This window comes from Homo sapiens, chromosome 8, assembly GCF_000001405.40.
Source record: "Homo sapiens chromosome 8, GRCh38.p14 Primary Assembly".
NCBI lineage: Eukaryota > Metazoa > Chordata > Mammalia > Primates > Hominidae > Homo > Homo sapiens.
The window spans coordinates 79747224-79767771 of record NC_000008.11 but is presented as its reverse complement, the minus strand read 5'-3'; the positions used below and the strand labels follow the sequence as shown (position 1 = coordinate 79767771).

General features: G+C 41.8%; 1 protein-coding gene across 3 annotated transcripts, besides 2 other annotated features; it reads left to right on the top strand.

Annotated features, from left to right (window-relative positions):
- On the top strand, nucleotides 5-3762 carry HEY1 (hes related family bHLH transcription factor with YRPW motif 1). 3 transcript variants are annotated; one of them, NM_012258.4, is made up of 5 exons: nucleotides 5-197; nucleotides 478-553; nucleotides 680-763; nucleotides 1040-1121; nucleotides 2001-3762. In NM_012258.4, the coding sequence occupies exons 1-5, from the start codon at nucleotides 109-111 to the stop codon at nucleotides 2582-2584; spliced, it is 915 nt and encodes a 304-aa protein (NP_036390.3). In that variant the 5' UTR covers nucleotides 5-108; the 3' UTR covers nucleotides 2585-3762. The 3 variants fall into 3 exon arrangements, with proteins under 3 accessions (NP_036390.3, NP_001035798.1, NP_001269780.1); NM_001040708.2 differs by having other exon boundaries at nucleotides 680-775; NM_001282851.2 differs by lacking the exons at nucleotides 5-197; nucleotides 478-553; nucleotides 680-763; nucleotides 1040-1121 and adding an exon at nucleotides 1297-1569.
- Nucleotides 433-482: an enhancer, noted in NCBI's record as "active region_27550". NCBI's record gives its function as "activates an Ori minimal core promoter by ATAC-STARR-seq in GM12878 lymphoblastoid cells {active_cell/tissue: GM12878}" and the evidence as "EXISTENCE:reporter gene assay evidence [ECO:0000049][PMID:35858748]".
- Nucleotides 2069-2308: an enhancer, noted in NCBI's record as "active region_27549". NCBI's record gives its function as "activates an Ori minimal core promoter by ATAC-STARR-seq in GM12878 lymphoblastoid cells {active_cell/tissue: GM12878}" and the evidence as "EXISTENCE:reporter gene assay evidence [ECO:0000049][PMID:35858748]".
- Nucleotides 3763-20548: the final 16786 nt, after the last annotated feature.

The window sequence follows — 20548 nt, the reverse complement described above, 5'->3', positions numbered from 1 at the left end:
GATCAGTGTGTGCGGAACGCAAGCAGCCGAGAGCGGAGAGGCGCCGCTGTAGTTAACTCCTCCCTGCCCGCCGCGCCGACCCTCCCCAGGAACCCCCAGGGAGCCAGCATGAAGCGAGCTCACCCCGAGTACAGCTCCTCGGACAGCGAGCTGGACGAGACCATCGAGGTGGAGAAGGAGAGTGCGGACGAGAATGGGTGAGCTGGCGGCGGCGGAGCGGAGCCGAGCCAGAGCGGGAGGCGAGCGCAGGCCTGCCGCGGTGACAGCGGGCTAGGACCCTTGGCGCGCCGGTGCCCTGCGCTGACCTCCGCGCGTCGCAGGCTGGCGGCAGCCTGCGGCCAGGGAACCCCTAGGTGCCTTCCAGCCCAAGTGGCAAAAAAAGTCTGAGTGCGGGGAGGGTGTGGGGGCGACCTCTCAGATCACCTCTCCTCGTTTAACGGCGATTTCAGTTTTTGTTTGTTCTTTTTCTCTTTTCAGAAACTTGAGTTCGGCTCTAGGTTCCATGTCCCCAACTACATCTTCCCAGATTTTGGCCAGAAAAAGACGGAGAGGAGTGAGTCTCTTTACACTCTCCTTTTATTTTTGTTATTGATTAACGGAAATAACCACCTTTTTTTTTGTCTTTGAAATTTACAGTCGTAATGGTAATGCCTTCCTTTGTTTTGCTTGCCTTCTGCAGATAATTGAGAAGCGCCGACGAGACCGGATCAATAACAGTTTGTCTGAGCTGAGAAGGCTGGTACCCAGTGCTTTTGAGAAGCAGGTAATGGAGCAAGTAGGTAAAGCTCTCAGCATAGCTATCTGCACCTTCTGAATCTTCCCCTCATTAATCTCATCCGCCTTGGAAAATAGCTGTGTTGCTTGTGCCTAGATGAATTCGTACACAGATACCAGCGTATTTTGTGAAGACAACTGATTTTGCTTTAGTCCATGCTTTACGATTTACAAAGCATGTATCTTTGTATATATGTTTGCATATTTTAAATTGTTCCCCAAAGGAACTTGTGCCAAATCAATCTTTTGCCATTCTCATCTTTAGGGATCTGCTAAGCTAGAAAAAGCCGAGATCCTGCAGATGACCGTGGATCACCTGAAAATGCTGCATACGGCAGGAGGGAAAGGTACATCTCCTAGACCTAGTGGGGGCTCTGAATGGTTGGCAAAGAGTGAGCAGCGGCTGAAGGCCAGGATTGGTGCAGTAGCTGCCTGATTTTTCTTTGGGGGTGGGGAGAGAACGGTGTGTGGTGTGTGCAGTTCCCTGTCAGTACATTTTCGAATGCACATAGAATCTTCTCCAGTGAATTCACCACCCCAGCTCTCTGCGGATTGAGCTAGTGCATCTTTTGGAAAAATACCTATTATTTGTGAGGTCTTCAAAAGTTGTGACAGCCCTGATTCAGATCAGGTAGCTTTCACATTTGTCCATTGCTATTTTGAGAAAAAGCATTTAAAAACAATATGTGGTCTTATTTTTGGTATACGGGATTTTAAAAAAAAGGTGCTGCCACATGCCTCTTGAGGAAAGAAATGTATTCTGGTTAAGTAAAGGAAACCTAACGGGAGACCAAGGTCTGTGTGTATGTCTCTCCAGCAGGAAAATGCTTTACTGAGGTCCAAGTGCCTAAAAGCTCCGCGATGATAACTTACATCTGTGTGTCTAATGAATTTCACTGCTCTGTGGTTTCTCTGCCCTTGATGTATTTTTTGTTGTTGTTGAGGGAAAACATTAAAGGAATGAACATAGTTTCATCTGCTGGTAGGGTATAATTCCAATTTCTGCTCTGCAGCTTCTAATTGGGCTTTGAACTTGCATTAGCAAACACATTCTGCTTATGTTGATTAATGCAAAGATTTTTGTTGATTCCAAAGACTTTCGGAAGAACCCCTGACTGTTGTGTTTTAAGGGATGCAGGTATCTGCCAGGAAGGGCTGTCTCTGGGACTTAAGAAATGAGGGAAACGGGCAAAGCCCTGAGATTTTTCTTTTGTTCTTTTGCTTAGGTTACTTTGACGCGCACGCCCTTGCTATGGACTATCGGAGTTTGGGATTTCGGGAATGCCTGGCAGAAGTTGCGCGTTATCTGAGCATCATTGAAGGACTAGATGCCTCTGACCCGCTTCGAGTTCGACTGGTTTCGCATCTCAACAACTACGCTTCCCAGCGGGAAGCCGCGAGCGGCGCCCACGCGGGCCTCGGACACATTCCCTGGGGGACCGTCTTCGGACATCACCCGCACATCGCGCACCCGCTGTTGCTGCCCCAGAACGGCCACGGGAACGCGGGCACCACGGCCTCACCCACGGAACCGCACCACCAGGGCAGGCTGGGCTCGGCACATCCGGAGGCGCCTGCTTTGCGAGCGCCCCCTAGCGGCAGCCTCGGACCGGTGCTCCCTGTGGTCACCTCCGCCTCCAAACTGTCGCCGCCTCTGCTCTCCTCAGTGGCCTCCCTGTCGGCCTTCCCCTTCTCTTTCGGCTCCTTCCACTTACTGTCTCCCAATGCACTGAGCCCTTCAGCACCCACGCAGGCTGCAAACCTTGGCAAGCCCTATAGACCTTGGGGGACGGAGATCGGAGCTTTTTAAAGAACTGATGTAGAATGAGGGAGGGGAAAGTTTAAAATCCCAGCTGGGCTGGACTGTTGCCAACATCACCTTAAAGTCGTCAGTAAAAGTAAAAAGGAAAAAGGTACACTTTCAGATAATTTTTTTTTTAAAGACTAAAGGTTTGTTGGTTTACTTTTATCTTTTTTAATGTTTTTTTCATCATGTCATGTATTAGCAGTTTTTAAAAACTAGTTGTTAAATTTTGTTCAAGACATTAAATTGAAATAGTGAGTATAAGCCAACACTTTGTGATAGGTTTGTACTGTGCCTAATTTACTTTGTAAACCAGAATGATTCCGTTTTTGCCTCAAAATTTGGGGAATCTTAACATTTAGTATTTTTGGTCTGTTTTTCTCCTTGTATAGTTATGGTCTGTTTTTAGAATTAATTTTCCAAACCACTATGCTTAATGTTAACATGATTCTGTTTGTTAATATTTTGACAGATTAAGGTGTTGTATAAATAATATTCTTTTGGGGGGAGGGGAACTATATTGAATTTTATATTTCTGAGCAAAGCGTTGACAAATCAGATGATCAGCTTTATCCAAGAAAGAAGACTAGTAAATTGTCTGCCTCCTATAGCAGAAAGGTGAATGTACAAACTGTTGGTGGCCCTGAATCCATCTGACCAGCTGCTGGTATCTGCCAGGACTGGCAGTTCTGATTTAGTTAGGAGAGAGCCGCTGATAGGTTAGGTCTCATTTGGAGTGTTGGTGGAAAGGAAACTGAAGGTAATTGAATAGAATACGCCTGCATTTACCAGCCCCAGCAACACAAAGAATTTTTAATCACACGGATCTCAAATTCACAAATGTTAACATGGATAAGTGATCATGGTGTGCGAGTGGTCAATTGAGTAGTACAGTGGAAACTGTTAAATGCATAACCTAATTTTCCTGGGACTGCCATATTTTCTTTTAACTGGAAATTTTTATGTGAGTTTTCCTTTTGGTGCATGGAACTGTGGTTGCCAAGGTATTTAAAAGGGCTTTCCTGCCTCCTTCTCTTTGATTTATTTAATTTGATTTGGGCTATAAAATATCATTTTTCAGGTTTATTCTTTTAGCAGGTGTAGTTAAACGACCTCCACTGAACTGGGTTTGACCTCTGTTGTACTGATGTGTTGTGACTAAATAAAAAAGAAAGAACAAAGTATTCTGTGGTGTATGTCTTACATACCTTGGCCTTTCCCCCTCTTGGCTAAGAAAAGATAAACTTTCCTTGGTTTTCATTTTGCCTGATTGGTTTGTATGTTTACCAGTTTCATTATTCTTGGACTTCTAAACTGTGTGAATTCGTGCCGTTGAATAAGGTGACTTCATTACAATGCAGAGAGCTTTGCCCTGCCTCCTACAAGGGGACATAGCCCTTTTGCTCTTATGTCAGATGATCTGGCCCTAAACTGGCCATCTGTGGATTAGGAAAGCTGAAATCAGACTGAGACTTACAGGGGTTGAAAGGAGCTTGGATGAAATATTTTAAAACCGTGTTGACTATTTGACAAATATTTACTGAGAGTACCTACTATGTGCTCATTTCTATGCTGAGAGAATGGAAATTTATTTCTTTTATTAATTTTTTTTAAATGGCAAAACAAGAAGACCCAAATGTAGGGGCTCGGGACTCTGTGGCCTGATGAGCAGTGGCAGGCTGTAATTCTGCACCTGCACAGCTCCAGAAGTCTTCACTGGTCTTATTTCCAAGGAATTTAACTCTTTAGTTGCACTGGACTCCTGAGCTGTGTAGTGAGGAAGCTGACATATGCTTTAGGTTAGAACAAAACACTGCCAGCATGGAGGGCGTATTCTGGGCCCCAGGGGAGAGGAGTGTCTTCCCATTGCCTTAAAAATAGCCCTGTGCCAATTAAGGAGTGCTCCTAAGGAGTTTGTCTTGATCCTGAGGGCGGTGGGGAGGAGACGGAGAAAACCCATGCTGGCAGATGATAAAATAAAGCCTTCCTTTGCTTTGCCCAAACACGGAGCCCCTCCTCCCATCTGGTGAAAAAACACAGTCAGAAGACAAAGAGAAGTTTGGAGTTTGAATTTGAGCTTCAACTTCTGTGTCCCTGTGAAGGGATGGGAGACTGCAGCATTTTTGTGATTGTGGGTTTCCAATCCCTTCAAAGCTTTCTCTGCATGGCCTCAGACGTCGATCCCTCTTGTGATGCACAGCTCTGCTCTCAGCATTGCCTGTGCCACACAGACACTCTTTCTGTCATAAGGCTGTGATGGAAAGTGTTATGCTAATTTCTGCCAAGTGTCAGTTTAATTTTAGCAACCGCGATTTCCAATGACATTACAGCATTACTGAACAGCATTGTACTTCGACTATCTCTTACTGTTACATAGGTTTAGATGGCTGCTAATGTGGTAAGAAGTGAAGCCTCTCATTTGCTGGCTCTGCTGAAAGAGCTGTGGAACTGTAAAACATGTAGCATGTTCCACTTGTCTCATCAGTGATCGCTATATCTGGTTAGCGGGAGGCGTGGCAGTTCATTTCCAGATTACATACTTTTCCATGGAAATATTCTGGTTTCTTTTCAAGCCCTTTCAAGGTGAAAAGTATCTGAGGATGGTGCAGGTGGAGTGTGAGCTTCCTAGGAAGCAGGATGGAGTATGACTATGTACCAATAGTGTATAGAAAAATTAATTCAGGAAAACTCCCATTTCTATTCTGTTGATGCAATTAGGAAAAAAATAACACCAGGGTTATCAGGGCCAGCATATTTTTGTATTATATGTACATTTATAATACATCTACCAGTGTATAAACAAAATTTTTTCAGAGAATGCATAAGTTTACCTTATAAGGAAAATAAATCATTGGTTATAAAGAATCTTGAAGGGCTTCAATAATTACTCATTTATTTTCATTTAATGTATTACCATGAATCAATATGATGAAGTAGATAGATGGGCAGAATTCTTGTATTTAAAAAAGCCTCTAAAAATCCAAGGAATAATTGTTTCCAATTTATTCAGTCTAGTTAAATGAGGATGTGATTTTTATCCAGGTTTTCATTGCCCCACTCTGTGACTCACTAAAATCATGATATTTTAAATATAGATTACTTAAATTTGAAATCCCTCAGGAAATGTTTTATCTCCTAGTTATACTTTTCCCCAGCCTTTCCCATCTATACCAGTATCACAGCTTTGATGCCTTCATTAGTTTCTGGTGATGATTTATAATTAAAATCACTTCAGAGCTAATATCATCTGAAACACTGCTTCAAATGTGGCCCAATTTCATTTACAACTGGAGTCCCAGGGAATAAGAGCATCTTGGAAAGATTTTTGGCTCCTGCTTTTACCTAATTGGGTGACACTGGATAAGTCATTATGATTCTCTGAACCCCACTTTCCTCATCTGTCAAAGTGGCTGGACTGGGTGAGGGTTCCAGGTGCATGTGACGGGGACAGGCACTACTGGGGAGGAATGCAGTGGTATCAGGTGAGTGATGACCCAGGGAGGACGTCATATTTTCCCAGCACCCATTCTGTCTCCGGGTCTGGCTGAGGAGTCGCCGATTGTTCCTATGCAGAAATTTTAGTCCAGTGTTAGCAGATCTTTCAAGTTTCCAAAGGCATCTCCAAATTTGGATTTTTTATGTGAAATTGTCCAATTTTTATTGGTTAGTCACTAATTCACCAAAACCTGTCTTCCAGCAAGACTGAGCCATGGGCAACAACTATTTCTCAGCTTCCAGGGCTCTAATCTGAATGGCTCTCTGGAGGGCTAGAATTTTCTAATATCTTTGTCATCCGTGCTTTGAATACGCTACAATAAATGGGTAAACATAAGCTAAAATAAAATCAACACTGCAGTCTTTAGGCAGCTGTAGGTGATATTATGTAAAGATTACGTGCAGAGTTTTTTAAAAAATTACTTCTGGGCTGTCCAATTTCCTCAAGGTAAAATAAAGCAAGGAGAGAGGTTTCTGCTTCACAGAAACCTCTTCCAAAGGTGTTCTCAACTGGGTCCTTGCATTCCCTTTACCATGGAGGAAGACGAGTTCTCAGCCTGGCAGCCTGAAATGAAAGAGCGAGTGTGTAGCTCGCTTGTGACTCAGCACGCTGAAGTACTAAAAGGCATCATCTGATTTCAGGAAGTAAGACGTCTCAGCAAAAAGCAAGCTGTTTTGAACTTCAACTTGAAATATAATGCCTGCCTTGATCTTGATGAGCTGCAGGGTTTTTCTCTCAGATCCTTCAGTGTTCTGCTCTGGGGCGGGGGGTGGGGAGAGGCGAGAAGAAAGCCAAGGAAAAAGAAATCCAGGCCTTTCTTTTTGAGCTGTCTGTAGGTATTGATAGGCACTTGTCACAGAACTGTTCCCCCAAGCCTGTAAATCCCAGCAAAATTCAAGGTAAACAAATGTCCCTAAGAGATGAGTCTGAGGAACACAGACAGGTATCTGGATTTTGCGTTAATCCACTGCCACATTAGGCTTCTTTATAGTTTGGTTGTAAAATTTCCCATTGAATTTACTCCTATGTTGGTATTTTTTGTTACAGTCAAGTTAAAAGACCATGCCTAAATTTGAAAACTCTTAATCATAGATGGTTGGTAGGTTATCTATGGCTTGATGTAGCAGAAGAGACTTGAAAACGTTATATTTTAGCCAGAAAGAGACTGCCGTTTACCTCTGATAGAGTTGATACCCAAACAGTTTCTGTAGCTACTTTTAGTATTTTTTTTTTTTAAATGCCTCCCCTGGGCATGGTTTTGTTTCTGGTGCTTAGGGGTGTTCCATAAATGCAGCACTGAATCATAAAATTAAAGAATGACATATCTGAGGCTTTGATCATCCTCTTTGACCTCATTTCCTACCACTCGCCCCTCCTCACTGCTCCAGCCACACTTGCTGTCTGCTCTTGTGGGAACGTGCTCTACATGTTTGCATCTCCAGGCCTTTGTGTTGGCCGTTCCCTCTGCCTGGAATGCTTTTCCCCCAACGGTCTGCTGACCTATCTGTAATCTCTACTTGCGGCTCTGCTCAAAGGTCACCTTCCCCACCAGGTCTTTCCTTGCAACTCTATTTAAAACAATCATCCCACTCTCAGTCTCTCATCCCCACATCTGCCTCTCCCTACCTCCCTTTCTTCTTTTGTTTATCTCCACCGTACCCAGAATTATCTGACAGAATAGATACTTCATTGACTGTTTATTATCTGTTTTTGCCTGGTTTGTTCACTTCTACAGTTCTGTCACTTAAAATTGCCTAGCACATTAGAGGCTCTCAGTAAGTATTTGTTGAATGAGTGAATGAATCCTATCCACCCCCTTGGTCTCCACTAAGAAGCAGAGCAACCGGGCAGGGTGGCTCATGCCTGTAATCCCAGCACTTTGGGAGGCAGATGCGGGCGGATCACCTGAGGCCTGGAGTTTGAGACCAGCCTGACCAACATGGAGAAACCCATCTCTACTAAAAAAAAACAAAAAACCAAACAAACAAACAAACAAAAATAGCCAGGTGTGGTAGCACATGCCTATAATCACAGCTACTTGGGAGGTTGACTGGAGAATTGCTTGAGCCCAGCAGGTGGAGGTTGTGGTGAGCCGAGATTGCGCCATTGAACTCCAGCCTGAGCAAAACTGTCAAAAAAAAAAAAAAAAAAAAAAAAAAAAGCAGAGCAAAAGAGAGCCAGACAGGCAGGTCTTTATCCTCCAGCCCCCACCTTCACTACTCCCAGGGAAGATAATTTTATGTTTCACTTCAGTACTTCCTCTTCACTATTATAAAATTCTGCTTTTATTTATTTTATTTATTTTTATTTTTATAGAGAGACAGGGTCTTGGTATGCAAACTTCTGGACTCAAGCGATCCTCCCACCTTGGCTTCCTAAAGTTTTGGGATTACAGGTGTGAGCCACTGCGTCCAGCCAAAATTCTGCTTTAAAAAAAAACCAAACTCAAACATCATTCTTCAAGTCTATTTCCTTATTTATTTATTTCCTTATTTATTCCCACTTCTGTGTGCCTAGTGGGAATGTAGGGATATTGGTCACCTTTCTTTTCTTTTTTTTTTTTTGGAGGTGGAGTCTCGCTCTCCACCTCCCAGGTTCAAACAATTCTCCTGCCTCAGCCTTCTGAGTAGCTGGGACTACAGGCACCTGCCACCACGCCCGGCTAATTTTTGTATTTTTAGTAGAGACGATGTTTCACTGTGTTGCCCAGAGTGGTCTCGAACCCCTGAGCTCAGGCAATCCACCCACCTCAGCCTCCCAAAGTGCTAGAATTACAGGCATGAGCCACTGCATCCAACCACCTTTCTTATATTCCCCACAAAAGCCCCCACTCTCCTCTGAAGACATAGGCTTTCAATTTATCTTCACTTCCACCTTCTCTCCAATTAGGGTGTCTCAGTGTTTTTGATCTTCCCCCATTTTAGTACAACCTTTGGGATGGGGATGGGGGAGCACAGCAACTGTATTTTTATTTATTTTATTTTATTTTTTGAGACAGTTGCTCTGTTGCCCAGGCTGGAGTGCAATGGCACGATCTCAGCTCACTGCAACTTCCACCTCCCAGGTTCAAGCAATTCTCCCACTCCAGCCTCCTGAGTAGCTGGGATTACAGGCATATGCCACCACGCTCAGCTAATTTTTGTATTTTTAGTAGAGACAGGGTTACGTCATGTTGGCCAGGCTGGTCTTGAACTCCTGACCTCAGATGATCCACCCACCTCAGCCTCTCAAGGTGCTGGGATTACAGGCATGAGCCATTGCGCCCAGCCAAGTGTATTTATAAAAATGGAGAGAAGAACAGAAGTTCTATTATGAGAACAGAGTACATACCACTTAGGGTTTATAGGACAGCAACACAGATGAAGCGTTTAGACTAAACCTGAAGAAGTTAAAGAAACTAAGATATAGTCTGTGATAAGTTGGAGGCTGAAGGGCGACTAGGAAATTATTCGTTTCCATATATAAAGACACGGTCTTATGAAAACAGAGGCCAGAGGTTCTCAGGTGGAGACCCACATCCTCGCACAGGGCAGAGACCCGTGGGGTTGAGATGGGAAGGGGCCTGCAATTCTCACCATGGTTCTGGCCATTAAGCAGCCATGGGTTTGTAACAGGATTTTGAGTACAGCTTTTTCTGTTGTCCGGTAATAAGCTGAGTGCACAGAAGTGGTAAGTACCTCATATTCTAAGGAACGCAAATCAACTTGGGACCCAATATTTCTGACAGGATTTTTTAATAGGAGCCTAAACTATCCTTTCCATGTTCAGCAGTAGCCCCCATAGCTGAACCTCATCCCAGCTCACCTAAGAAGATGGGGAAAGGGATGAGAAAGGAGATCATGGACATGATGAGGAGTGGCCTAGCTTCTCCCCTCCCTGTAGGGAGTAGGTGAGTTGAAAGTTTATGAGGGATTGCAGTGGCTGCATGAGATTCCAGGATTTATAGAAAGTGGGTTTGAAGCTTGAGCTGCTGTCAGAGCTGAAGGGAAACAGCTGCCTCCTTCTCTTCGCAGGGTGTGGTTCTTGGAAACGCAGGGGATTAGGATGAAACTGAACATCTCCCCTAAAATACCACGCACATCACCCACTTGGAAAGCATCACATCAGCAGAAGCCTCCGGCAGCAGATGGAAAACAGAGCCAAAGTGAGAACGCAGGTTCCTGGCAGCCTCCCCCAACTTATGTGGGAAGATGTTTCCCTCCCTCTTTTCTCTTCTCCCGTCCTCAATGCTAGCGTAGTTAACGTTGGGAAGGGAAGGCATGGAGGAATACTAGACTCAGAACTGGCCTAGAACATGAATCCCCACCCAGACCCTCCGAGGTGCTGGAGGAGGAAGAAGAGCTGAAGGGTAGACAATATCCCTTCCCGCTCTCCCTGACCCCCAAGTCCTCCTCCCACATTTTAGCTGATGACAGGATGGGGAAAGTTTTAAATGAGAAAGGAGATTGACATGTTGAAATAGACTGAATTTTTGTTTATGGAAAATGACAAGGAAATTCTTTGGTCTGCCCAAGACATGATTAAGAGAAAGCAAAGGGATATTTGTCAGAATATGGTTGAAAGCAGTTATTGTAAAAATAAAACAACCCTCAAAAGACCCACTATTTCTTATTCCTCACTCAGTGGAGAAGTGCATGTTTAGTCCAAGAAATGACACCCAAGCAAATGGAAGAAGCTTGTGCAGAGGATTGTCATATCCGCCTTGATAATTTTGGGGAATAGTGAAACATGGAAGAGATAATGGACGAATGAATTTTTGAAAGAGAAGGTGGATTTTTTATGCTATTAACCAATGAGTTTATGTTAATACAGGGCAACGTTTTAAGAGGAATTATTAACATGGTCACCTGGAGCATGTATTAAAAAAAAAAGTGATGCCCAGGCATGGTGGCTCACGCCTGTAATCCCTACACTTTGGGAGACCAAAGTGGCAGGATCGCTTGAGCTCAGGAGTTTCAGATTAGCCTGGGCAACATGGTGAGACCCTGTCTCTACCACCCCCCCACCAAAACAAAACAAAACAAAAAACAGTAGCTGGACATGGTGGCATGCACCCGTAGTCCCAGTTACTGGAGAGGCTGAAACAGGAGGATCCCTTGAGCCCAAGGGTTCAAGGCTGCAGTGAGCTATGACCACGCCACTGTACTCCAGCCTGGGTGACAGAGCAAAACCCTATCTCAAAAACAAACAAATAAATAAACAAATAATAAATAAAAGTGATGAAAACCAGCAGCTAACAAGAGTTCACAAAGAATAAGCCATGCCTTACGAACTTCCATTCCTTTGGAAAAGGCTTACTGTGCTGGGCTATGGGAGGATACTGCAGAATAGTGTATCTGCACTGCTGTGAGGCATTTGACTAAGTGTTTTACCATTTCCTGGAACAGTACTAGAAATGTGAGCTGCATGATGGGACAGTTAGAAGGCTCAGGAATTAGTTAAATGACAATAATTCTTCATTTAGTGTTTGTATCACGCCCCGCATTGTGCTGGGGGCTTTTCACACATTATCTGTAATCTTTAAGAATGGTTACTCTGAAAGGTCAGTGTTATCATTTCTGTTTACAGATGAATAAACTGAGATTATGCAAGATGATGACAGTCATCCAAAATCTTCCAACAGTTATGAAGCAAAGCTAGAATTTATTGGCAAATAAAAAGTCCACACTTTAAAAAACTTAACACTCAAATTTAACTTATCAGTTGATTGATTTTTCACTTGGCAAGAGTCTCCTGTGATATTTTCTAATGATTACAGTAGGCTGAAAGTGAAACAAACTTCTTGGGGAGAAGATGAGTTCCCTGAGATACAGGATATTGAAGCAGAGTTTGGTCCACCCTGAATGTTGTGAATGGGCTTCACTAGAGGTTCTAACCAAGGCTTTCCAAGGGTGATGGATACATGGATACAGATGTTTTAAAGGCATCAATCTCTAGATGTTGAATTACCACATGTATGCAGTTCTTGACTTGCCAGTTCAGCCTCCCCACTGCTATGCTCACAGGCAGCCTTTCCCCTTAATTATAAAAGCCATACCCTTCACCCATCCCAAATCTGCAGACTCAGAAACTTATAGGATGCCAGACAAAGGGACAATTCTAAAACTTGGTTGCAGGAAAATCTTCCTTAATGATCATTGAGAAACTTTAATCTCACCATTGGCTTCCTGTTTATGCCCGTTTTACACATATTTTTGTTATGGATGAAACATGGATTAGAAAACAAAGTATTCAAATGTTCTAAATTTAGAAATTTTGAAGAGAAGCATGGTGGGAATGATAGCAATGATCATTTAATAACCTTGCCTCTTCTATTTTCAAAACGTTGTCCAAGACTGTATCTTTCTCTAGAGTCAGTAAGAACAAAGCAAACACAGCCTCAGTCAGAAATGTGAATGCCAGAGGGGAACAACACACACTGGGGTCTGTTGGGTGTGGCACTGGGGGAGGAAGAGCATTAGGAAAAATAGATGATGCATGCAGGGCTTAATACCTAGGTGATGGGTTGATAGGTGCAGCAAACCACCATGGCACACGTTTACCTATGTAACAAACCTGCACATCCTGCACAAGTACCCCAGAACTTAAACTTAAAATAAAAAAAAAAAAGAATCATGAATGCTTAAATGACTTCTTTTCTCCTTTCATGTAGGTAAACTGAAGCAATTCTTTTCAGTTAATCTCAACACTCATTCTTTAGGTCTTCTAGGCAGAAGAGAAAGTGGTATAACTAAGAGTTCCTTTAATAAGACTTGGTAAAAAAATTTTTTTAGCATATTTCCCAGAAATTGAGAAAGAAACTGACTAGTGACTATGTAACAAATATTTTTGAAAATTAGGTACTTTCCAATTCTTTGCCTTTGTCAAAATGAAGATCATCTTAAATTGTCAGCTACTAGAACATTACTAATAATTTTGATTATGGATCATCTAAATATGATTATTGGCAATATTAATTTATTTATACATGAACTACTTGAGAGGGAGCCTATTCATTTTAGTAAGAAGATATGCACATTCAATAACATTTTACTCTTAATAATAGTTATCAAAATATTTTATTAATTGTATAGTAATAATTGTAATAATAACTCAATCCAGAACCTACTTTCCTTCCTTCCTTCCTTCCTTTCCTTCCTTCCAGCCATCACTTAGAACCTTATGGTCTTAATAAATAAAAACTAAAATAATTGAATTTATATGCAAATCTGTATCAGAGAGAACTATAATTTGAGATCAAGAAAATACTTTCAAGCATAAAAATGTGTTACTAGGATAAAACTCAGTAGGAACATGAAATGGCAATAGGAATTCAAAGACAAAAAAATGATGTAAATTTCCCACTATCCAAGAGGAACTTGTGTTTGTATTTTCAAGAAGAATAATGGCTGTTATCAAATCATTATGATATTTAGCTTTCATTGGATGCCTTTAACATTTTATTAGATGTCAACATTAAACCCTAAAAAGTGCATTTTTTGGCCACCATTTAAACTTTAGAAAATATTTTAAATGTCAATTTTATTTTGTTGTATTTTTAGCTTTATCAGGGTATAATTGACAAACACAAACTGTATATATTTAAGGTATATAACTTGATGTTTTCAATGTATGTATATACATTATGAAATGATTATCACAATCAAACTAATAAACATGTCCATCACCTCACATAGTTACCTTTGTGTGTGTGTGTGTGTGTGTGTGTGTGTGTGTTGAGAACACTTAAAATCTACCCTCTTAGTGAATTTTAAACATGTAATGGAGTATTATTAACTATAGTCATGATGCTGTACATTAGATCTCCAAAACTTATTCATCCTGCAAAACTGAAACTTTGTACCCATTGACCAACATCTCCCCATTTCCCCCACTGCCTCAACCCCTGAAAACCACTATCCTGCTCTGTTTCTATGAGTTAGGCTATTTTAGATTCCACATATAAGTGAGATCATGCAGTGTTTGTCTCTCTGTGTCTGGTGTGTTTCACTTAGCATGATGTCCTGCAGATTCATTCATGTTGTTGCAAATGACAAAATTTTCTTTTTTTTAAAAGGCTGAGTAATATTCATATATATATATTTAATCCATTCATCCATTGATGAACACTTAGGTTGATTCCATATCTTGGCTATTGTGAGTAATGTTGCAATGAACATGGATTGCAGACATCTCTCTGAGATACTGATTTTCCTTTGGATATATACCCAGTAGTGGGATTGCTGGATGGTATGGTAGTTTTTATTTTTAATTTTTTGAGGAACCTCCATATTGTTCTCCATAATGGCTGCACTAATTTACATCCCCACCGACATTGTGCAAGGGTTCTCTTTTCTTCACAACCTCACCAACATTTGTTATTTTTTGTTTATTTTGTAATATCCATCTTAACAGGTGTGAGGAGTTAACACATTGTAGTTTTAATTTGTATTTCCCTGATGATTGGTGATAAACGAACATTTTTTTTTTCCATATACCTGTCAGCCATTTGTATGTCTTCTTTTGAGAAATGTCTTTTCAAGACCTTTGGTCATTTTAAAACCAGGTTGTTTTCTTGCTACTGAGTTGCTCGAGTTCCTTATATATTTTGGGTATTAACCCCTTGTCAGATGTATAGTTTGCAAATACTTTCTCCCATTTAGTAGGTGCCTTCTTCACTGTTTTGATTGTTTCATTTGCTGAGCAGAAGGTTTTTTAGTTTGATTCAATCCAACTTGACTATTTTTGCTTTCGTTGCCTTCACTTTGGTGTCATATTAAAAGAAATCATCCACACCAGTGTCAAGAAGCTTTTCCCCTATGTTTTTTCTAGAAGTTTATAATTTCAGGTTTCACATTTAAGTTTTTAATCCATTTTGAGTTTATTTCTGTGGATGGTGTGAAGTAAGAGCCCAATTTCATTCTTGTGCATGTGGAGATCCAGTTTTCCCACCATCATTTGTTGAAGAGACTATTCTTTCCCCTTCGTGTGTTCTTGGCAGCCATTATGAAGAATAGTTGACTGGAGATGCATGGATTTATTTCTGGACTCTATATTCTGTTCCATTGGTTTATATGTCTGTCTTCTTCTTCTTCTCCTCCTCCTCCTCCTTCTTGTTATTGTTCTTCTTCTTCTCCTTCTTCCTCCTCCTTTTCCTCCTCCTCCTCCTGTTCTTCTTCTTCTTCTTCCTCTTCCTCCTCCTCCTGCTGCTTCTTCTTATTTCTTCTTTTTTGCTAGTACCATCCTGTTTTAACTACTGTAGCTTTGTAATATATTTTGAAATCAGGAAATCTGATGTCTCCAGCTTTGTTCTTCTTGCTCAAGATTGTTTTAGCTATTTGTAATCTTTGGTGGTTCCTTATGAATTTTAGGATTTTTTTTTCTGTAAAGAATGCCATTGGGATTTTGATAGAGATTACACTGAACCTGTAGATCACTTTGGGTAGTACGGACATTTTAACAATATTATTTTTTTCATTTTTCTTTGGAGAGGGGGTCTCACACTGTCACATAGGCTGGAGTGCAGTGGCACAATTTTGACTCACTGCAGCCTTGACCTCCCGGTCTCAAGCAATCCTCCCACCTCAGCTTCCTGAGTAGCTGTGACTGCAGATCCATGTCACCATGCCTGGCTAATTTTTGTATTTTTCGTAGAGATGGGGAGTCTCCATGTTGCCCAGGTTGGTCTTGAATTCCTGGACTTGAGCTGTTCGCCTGCCTCGGCCTCCCAAAGTGCTGGGATTACAGGCATGTGCCACCACGCTTAGCCAACAATTAATTCTTCTAATCCATGGGAACATGACATGCCTTTCCATTTAGCTGTATCTTCTTTAATTTCCTCATCAATGGATTTTAATTTTCGTGTGCAAGTCTTTCACTTCTTTAGTTAAGTTTATTCATAAGCATTTTACTTTTTACTTGTTTTGGTTGCTATTGTAAACAGGATTGCTTTCTTAATTACCTTTTTGGATAGCTCATTGTTTGTGTATATAAACACCACTGATTTTTTTATGTTGATTTTGTATCCTGCAACTTCACTGAATTTATTAGTTCTAACAGTTTTTTAGTTGAATCTTCAGAGTTTTCTACATATATGATCACATCATCTGCAAAGAGATAATTTTACTTATTCCTTTCCAATGTGGATGTTTTTAATTTCTTTTTCATGCCTAATTGCTCTAGCTCAGTCTTTTAGTACTATGTTGAATAGAAGTGGTGAAAGTACCAAAGGAACTTCAGCAGCTCAGGGGCCCAAGCCTGACTTGATGGGACCCACAGTAGCTGTAGTTCTTCTTGTCATGTCTAGACTCATAAAATATTGTGCCATGAGACCTGAGACAGGGCTTTCCCAGCACCTAATAACACAACTCAAAATGTGGGAGTTTAATGCTTAACAGACATACTTAGAGTAATGAGAGTCAGGAAAATGGAATGAACCAGCAGATAAACTCCATTCCTTTCCTTCTACGTCACACTGTGTTGAGTAGCAAGAGTTTCTTATGACCTGCTTGGAAGACCTCCTTATTGACTGTGAACAATATGTGATGCTTTCTTCTGAAACTATGGCCTTCTGGGCAATGTGCTACCTTTTCTCCTTCAAGGACACATTTATTTTTCCTTCACTTTTGCAACTCTGGCATTGACTTTCCCAATAAAGTCTGAGGACTTAAGCTTTGTTGCAGGTTCTATTCTTATTGTTATTATTTTGTAGAGACTAGGGTCTCACTATGCTGCCCAGGCTAGCCTTGAACTCCTGGCATTAAAGTGATCCTCCTGTTCACGCCTGTAATCCCAGCACTTTGGGAGGCCAAGGTGGGAGGATCACTTGAGTCTAGGAGTTTGAGACCAGCCTGGGTAATGTGGCAAAACGCCGTCTCTACAAGAAATACAAAAATTAGCTAGGTGTGGTGGTGCACACCTGTAGTCCCACCTACTTGGGAAGCTGAGATGGAAGGATCGCTTGAGTCCAAGAGGCTGAGGCTGAAATGAAGGAGATTGAGCCACTGCACTCCACCTTGGGTGATTGAGTGAGACCCTGTCTAAAACCAAAAAACAAAAAACAATGCCCCACATAAAAAGAATTGTAAGAAAAAGGATCTCCTTAATGCCTATAAATTAATATCATTCAGGAGAACATCCTACTTTTCTCATAGCTCCATGCTATGTATTGCAAAATACTAATTTAAAAAAAATCTCAGCCAAGACTAGTGTAGAATAATATGATAAAAATTATTTTTTAAAGAAATAAACACATTAGTTTACTTTAGCATGGAAAATATATCTTATTTATTTATTTATTTTGAGATGGAGTTTAGCTCTTGTTGCCCAGGCTGGAGTGCAATGGTGTGATCTTGGCTCACCACAACCCCTGCCGCCCAGGTTCAAGCAATTCTCCTGCCTCAGCCTCCCGAGTAGATGGGCTTACAGGCGCCAGCTACCACGCCCGGCTAATTTTTGTATTTTTAGTAGAGATGGGGTTTCACCATGTTGGGCCAGGCTGGTCTCGAACTCCTGACCTCAGGCAATCCACCCGCCTCGGCCTCCCAAAGTGCTGGGATTACAGGCGTGAGCCACGGCACCGGGCTGATCTTACTGTTTATAAGATCTATTTGTTGTTTCTTCTTTCAAATAAATTTTATTGAGGTATAATTTCCATACAATATAATGTGCCCATTTAAAAAATATATATCAATGAGTTCTGACAAATACCTCTACCCAGACAAATAACTGCCATCACAGTCCAGATCTAGAATGTTTGCATCACCCCCAAGCAGTTTCCTCATGACTTTTTGCAGCAACACTTTCCCACCTTTAGCCCCAGGCAGCCACTGGCCTCATCAGCTTTCACTTTGTCATGATAGGGTAAGTTTTGTCTGTTCTAGAATTTCATATAAATAGAATCATCATCTGATGGATGTGTACACACACACACACACAACATCTAGCTTCTTTGGTTTTGAGATTCATTCATTCACTTGAGTGTACAAGTAGTTTGCTCCTTTTTATTGCTGAGTAATGCCATTGTATTAATATGCCACATACTGATGGACATTTGCATTGCTTCTAATTTTTGGCTATTACCACCAAAGCTGCTATGAACATTCATGTGAATGGAAAAAAAGAAAACAAAAGTGGTAAGAGTGGGTATCCTTATACCACATCTTAGTGGAAAATCTATCAGCTTTTCCTCATTGATTATGATGTTAGCTGTGGGCCTTTCATATATTGTCTATATTGTGTTAAGTTCCTTCTATACTTTTTTGTTGAGAGTTTTTTTTTAATCATGAACGAATATTACATTTTGTCAAATGCTTCTTCTATTAAGTGGATGTCAGTTTTACAATGTAGAGGTAGTTCCTCCAAATTGTCCTATGGAATATGCCATCCAAAAGCTTTAGTGTCCCTGATCTAGATGGCCATAAGCCTGAAACCCTTTTATTATGAAGAAGTGTCTGGAATTAATTTGGTTTAATTCCAGGTTACCAGCTAAAACACTGGGCACGTTACTTAAGTTTTTTGTATTTTGAGAAATAGGATACGAACAGAGCCTTCTTCATGGAGTTTTTGTGAAGTTGAATAGGGATAATGTGTCTGAGGTATGCAGGCTTGCCCCTCAGTTTTGTTTAGGCTCACCAAAAGCTCTCTTCTGCAAGGGGGTGGGGGTGAAGTGGTGGGTAGGGAAGTAGGGGAGTAGGGAACTGGAGCACAGACAAAAGATCAGGGAATGGAGGCTCCTCATTGTGGGATGTTGGGAGGCAGAGGTTTCCCTGTGCTCTCCTGTCCACTTTCTCCAGAGCTGGTGGAAGGAAGGGTTACCAGCTACCCAGAGACCCCGGAATCCCTGCTGTAGTACCGGAATTCCTAGCAGGCCAGAGCATCCAGAATGTTCCTATTGATGTTTTAGCTGGACAGTTAAACTACCACCAGATGGAATGTATTTTGGATGACACAGCCTGTTTTTCAGGTTCCTGGCTGGCCAACTACAGAGGTTCATGTGGGTCATTTCATTGACCTCAGAATGATTTGCTCCTGCAGTTTTTGGGGCACTACTTACTGTATTATGACAGAGTTTTATATATCAGAAATGCTAGAGTTGGGGGCAGGAGGACAGAGAGGGGAGGAAAATGACCTTGAGGGGAGGAGAGCGTCCCATGGGGATAAAATTAAGCTGCAGCTGCTGTTAATCTCTCTTTAGGAAGACTTTCTCAAAGGAGAGGACTGACTACGGGATTTTTATTTATTTATTTATATTATCATTTTTAAATTTTTTTAGTGACAGGGGTCTCATTATGTTGCCCAGGCTGGTCTTGAACTCCTGGGCTCACGTGATCCTCCCATCTTGGCCTCCCAAACTGCTGGGATTATAGGCATGAGACACTATGCCCAGAGGGATTTTTTAAGGACACAAATATTTAAAATTGATTTTGAAGTTGTTTTTCACCTTCTGCCATAATTATGCCTTTGCAACCCTAAATATACAAAAATGTCCTGTTAACAATGCTTCAGGACAGTAGCTCTCAACTGGCTGCGTATTAGAGTCACCTAGGGAAATTTAGATAATCTCGAGGGCCAGTTCACACAGCAGACCCATTAAATATAAAGCTCTAAAAGTGGCATTAGTATTGTAAAAGATCTCCCAGGTGATTTTTAATGTGCAGCCAAGGTTGGCAACTGCTGCTTTAGGAAAATGAAAGAAGGAGAGTCGTGTCGAACAAAATGTTCATGCAACCAGGGAGAAGCCGGTTGCTGAAAATGAGGTTGGTTTTCAAGCTGATCCTGAGTACAGCCAAGCAGGGCCTTTGGCCCTTTCCTTCTTTCCCCGGGAAGCTTATATTAAAAGCAGCAGATTCTGTCCAGCAATTAAAGAGAGTGGGTAGGAGATAAACTCTGGTCCTCACTGATTTTCACTGTTATTTCCTCTGAGTTGATCTCCCTGTTATTTTTCTGTGGAGTTGGAGCTTGACTCCTTTCCAAAGACAATGAAATCTGGTCACCGACTCAGCCAGCTGGGACACTGCCCTCTTGCCCATCTCTAGGCACATGGTTTCCAGACATCTTCCTGGGCAAGGGTGGTCGATAGCTGTGAAGGAAACACAGGGGTGAAGCTGGCTGTGTGCAACTGAGCCCTCGCTGGAGAGAAAGGCCATTCTAATGAGAGCTTGGTTAAGTAGTAAAATGGCTAAAGAGTCATATGGGATTAGTCCAATGCCTAATAAAAAGTCCCAACTGCCCTGGGTCCTGCAAAATCCAGCCTAGAAGCCTTACCTCCTTTCTTGTCTCCTCCAGGCCAGTGACTTCTCTCTGTTTTGTGCTCCTGTCTCCCTTATGTTCTGGATCATTCTCTTGGTCACCGATACGGTTTGGCTGTGTCCCCACCCAAATTTCATCTTGAATTGTACCTCCCACAATTCCCACGTGTCATGGGAGGGACCCTGTGGGAGGTAATTGAATCATGGGGGCGGGTATAACCCATGCTGTCCTTGTGGTAGTGAATA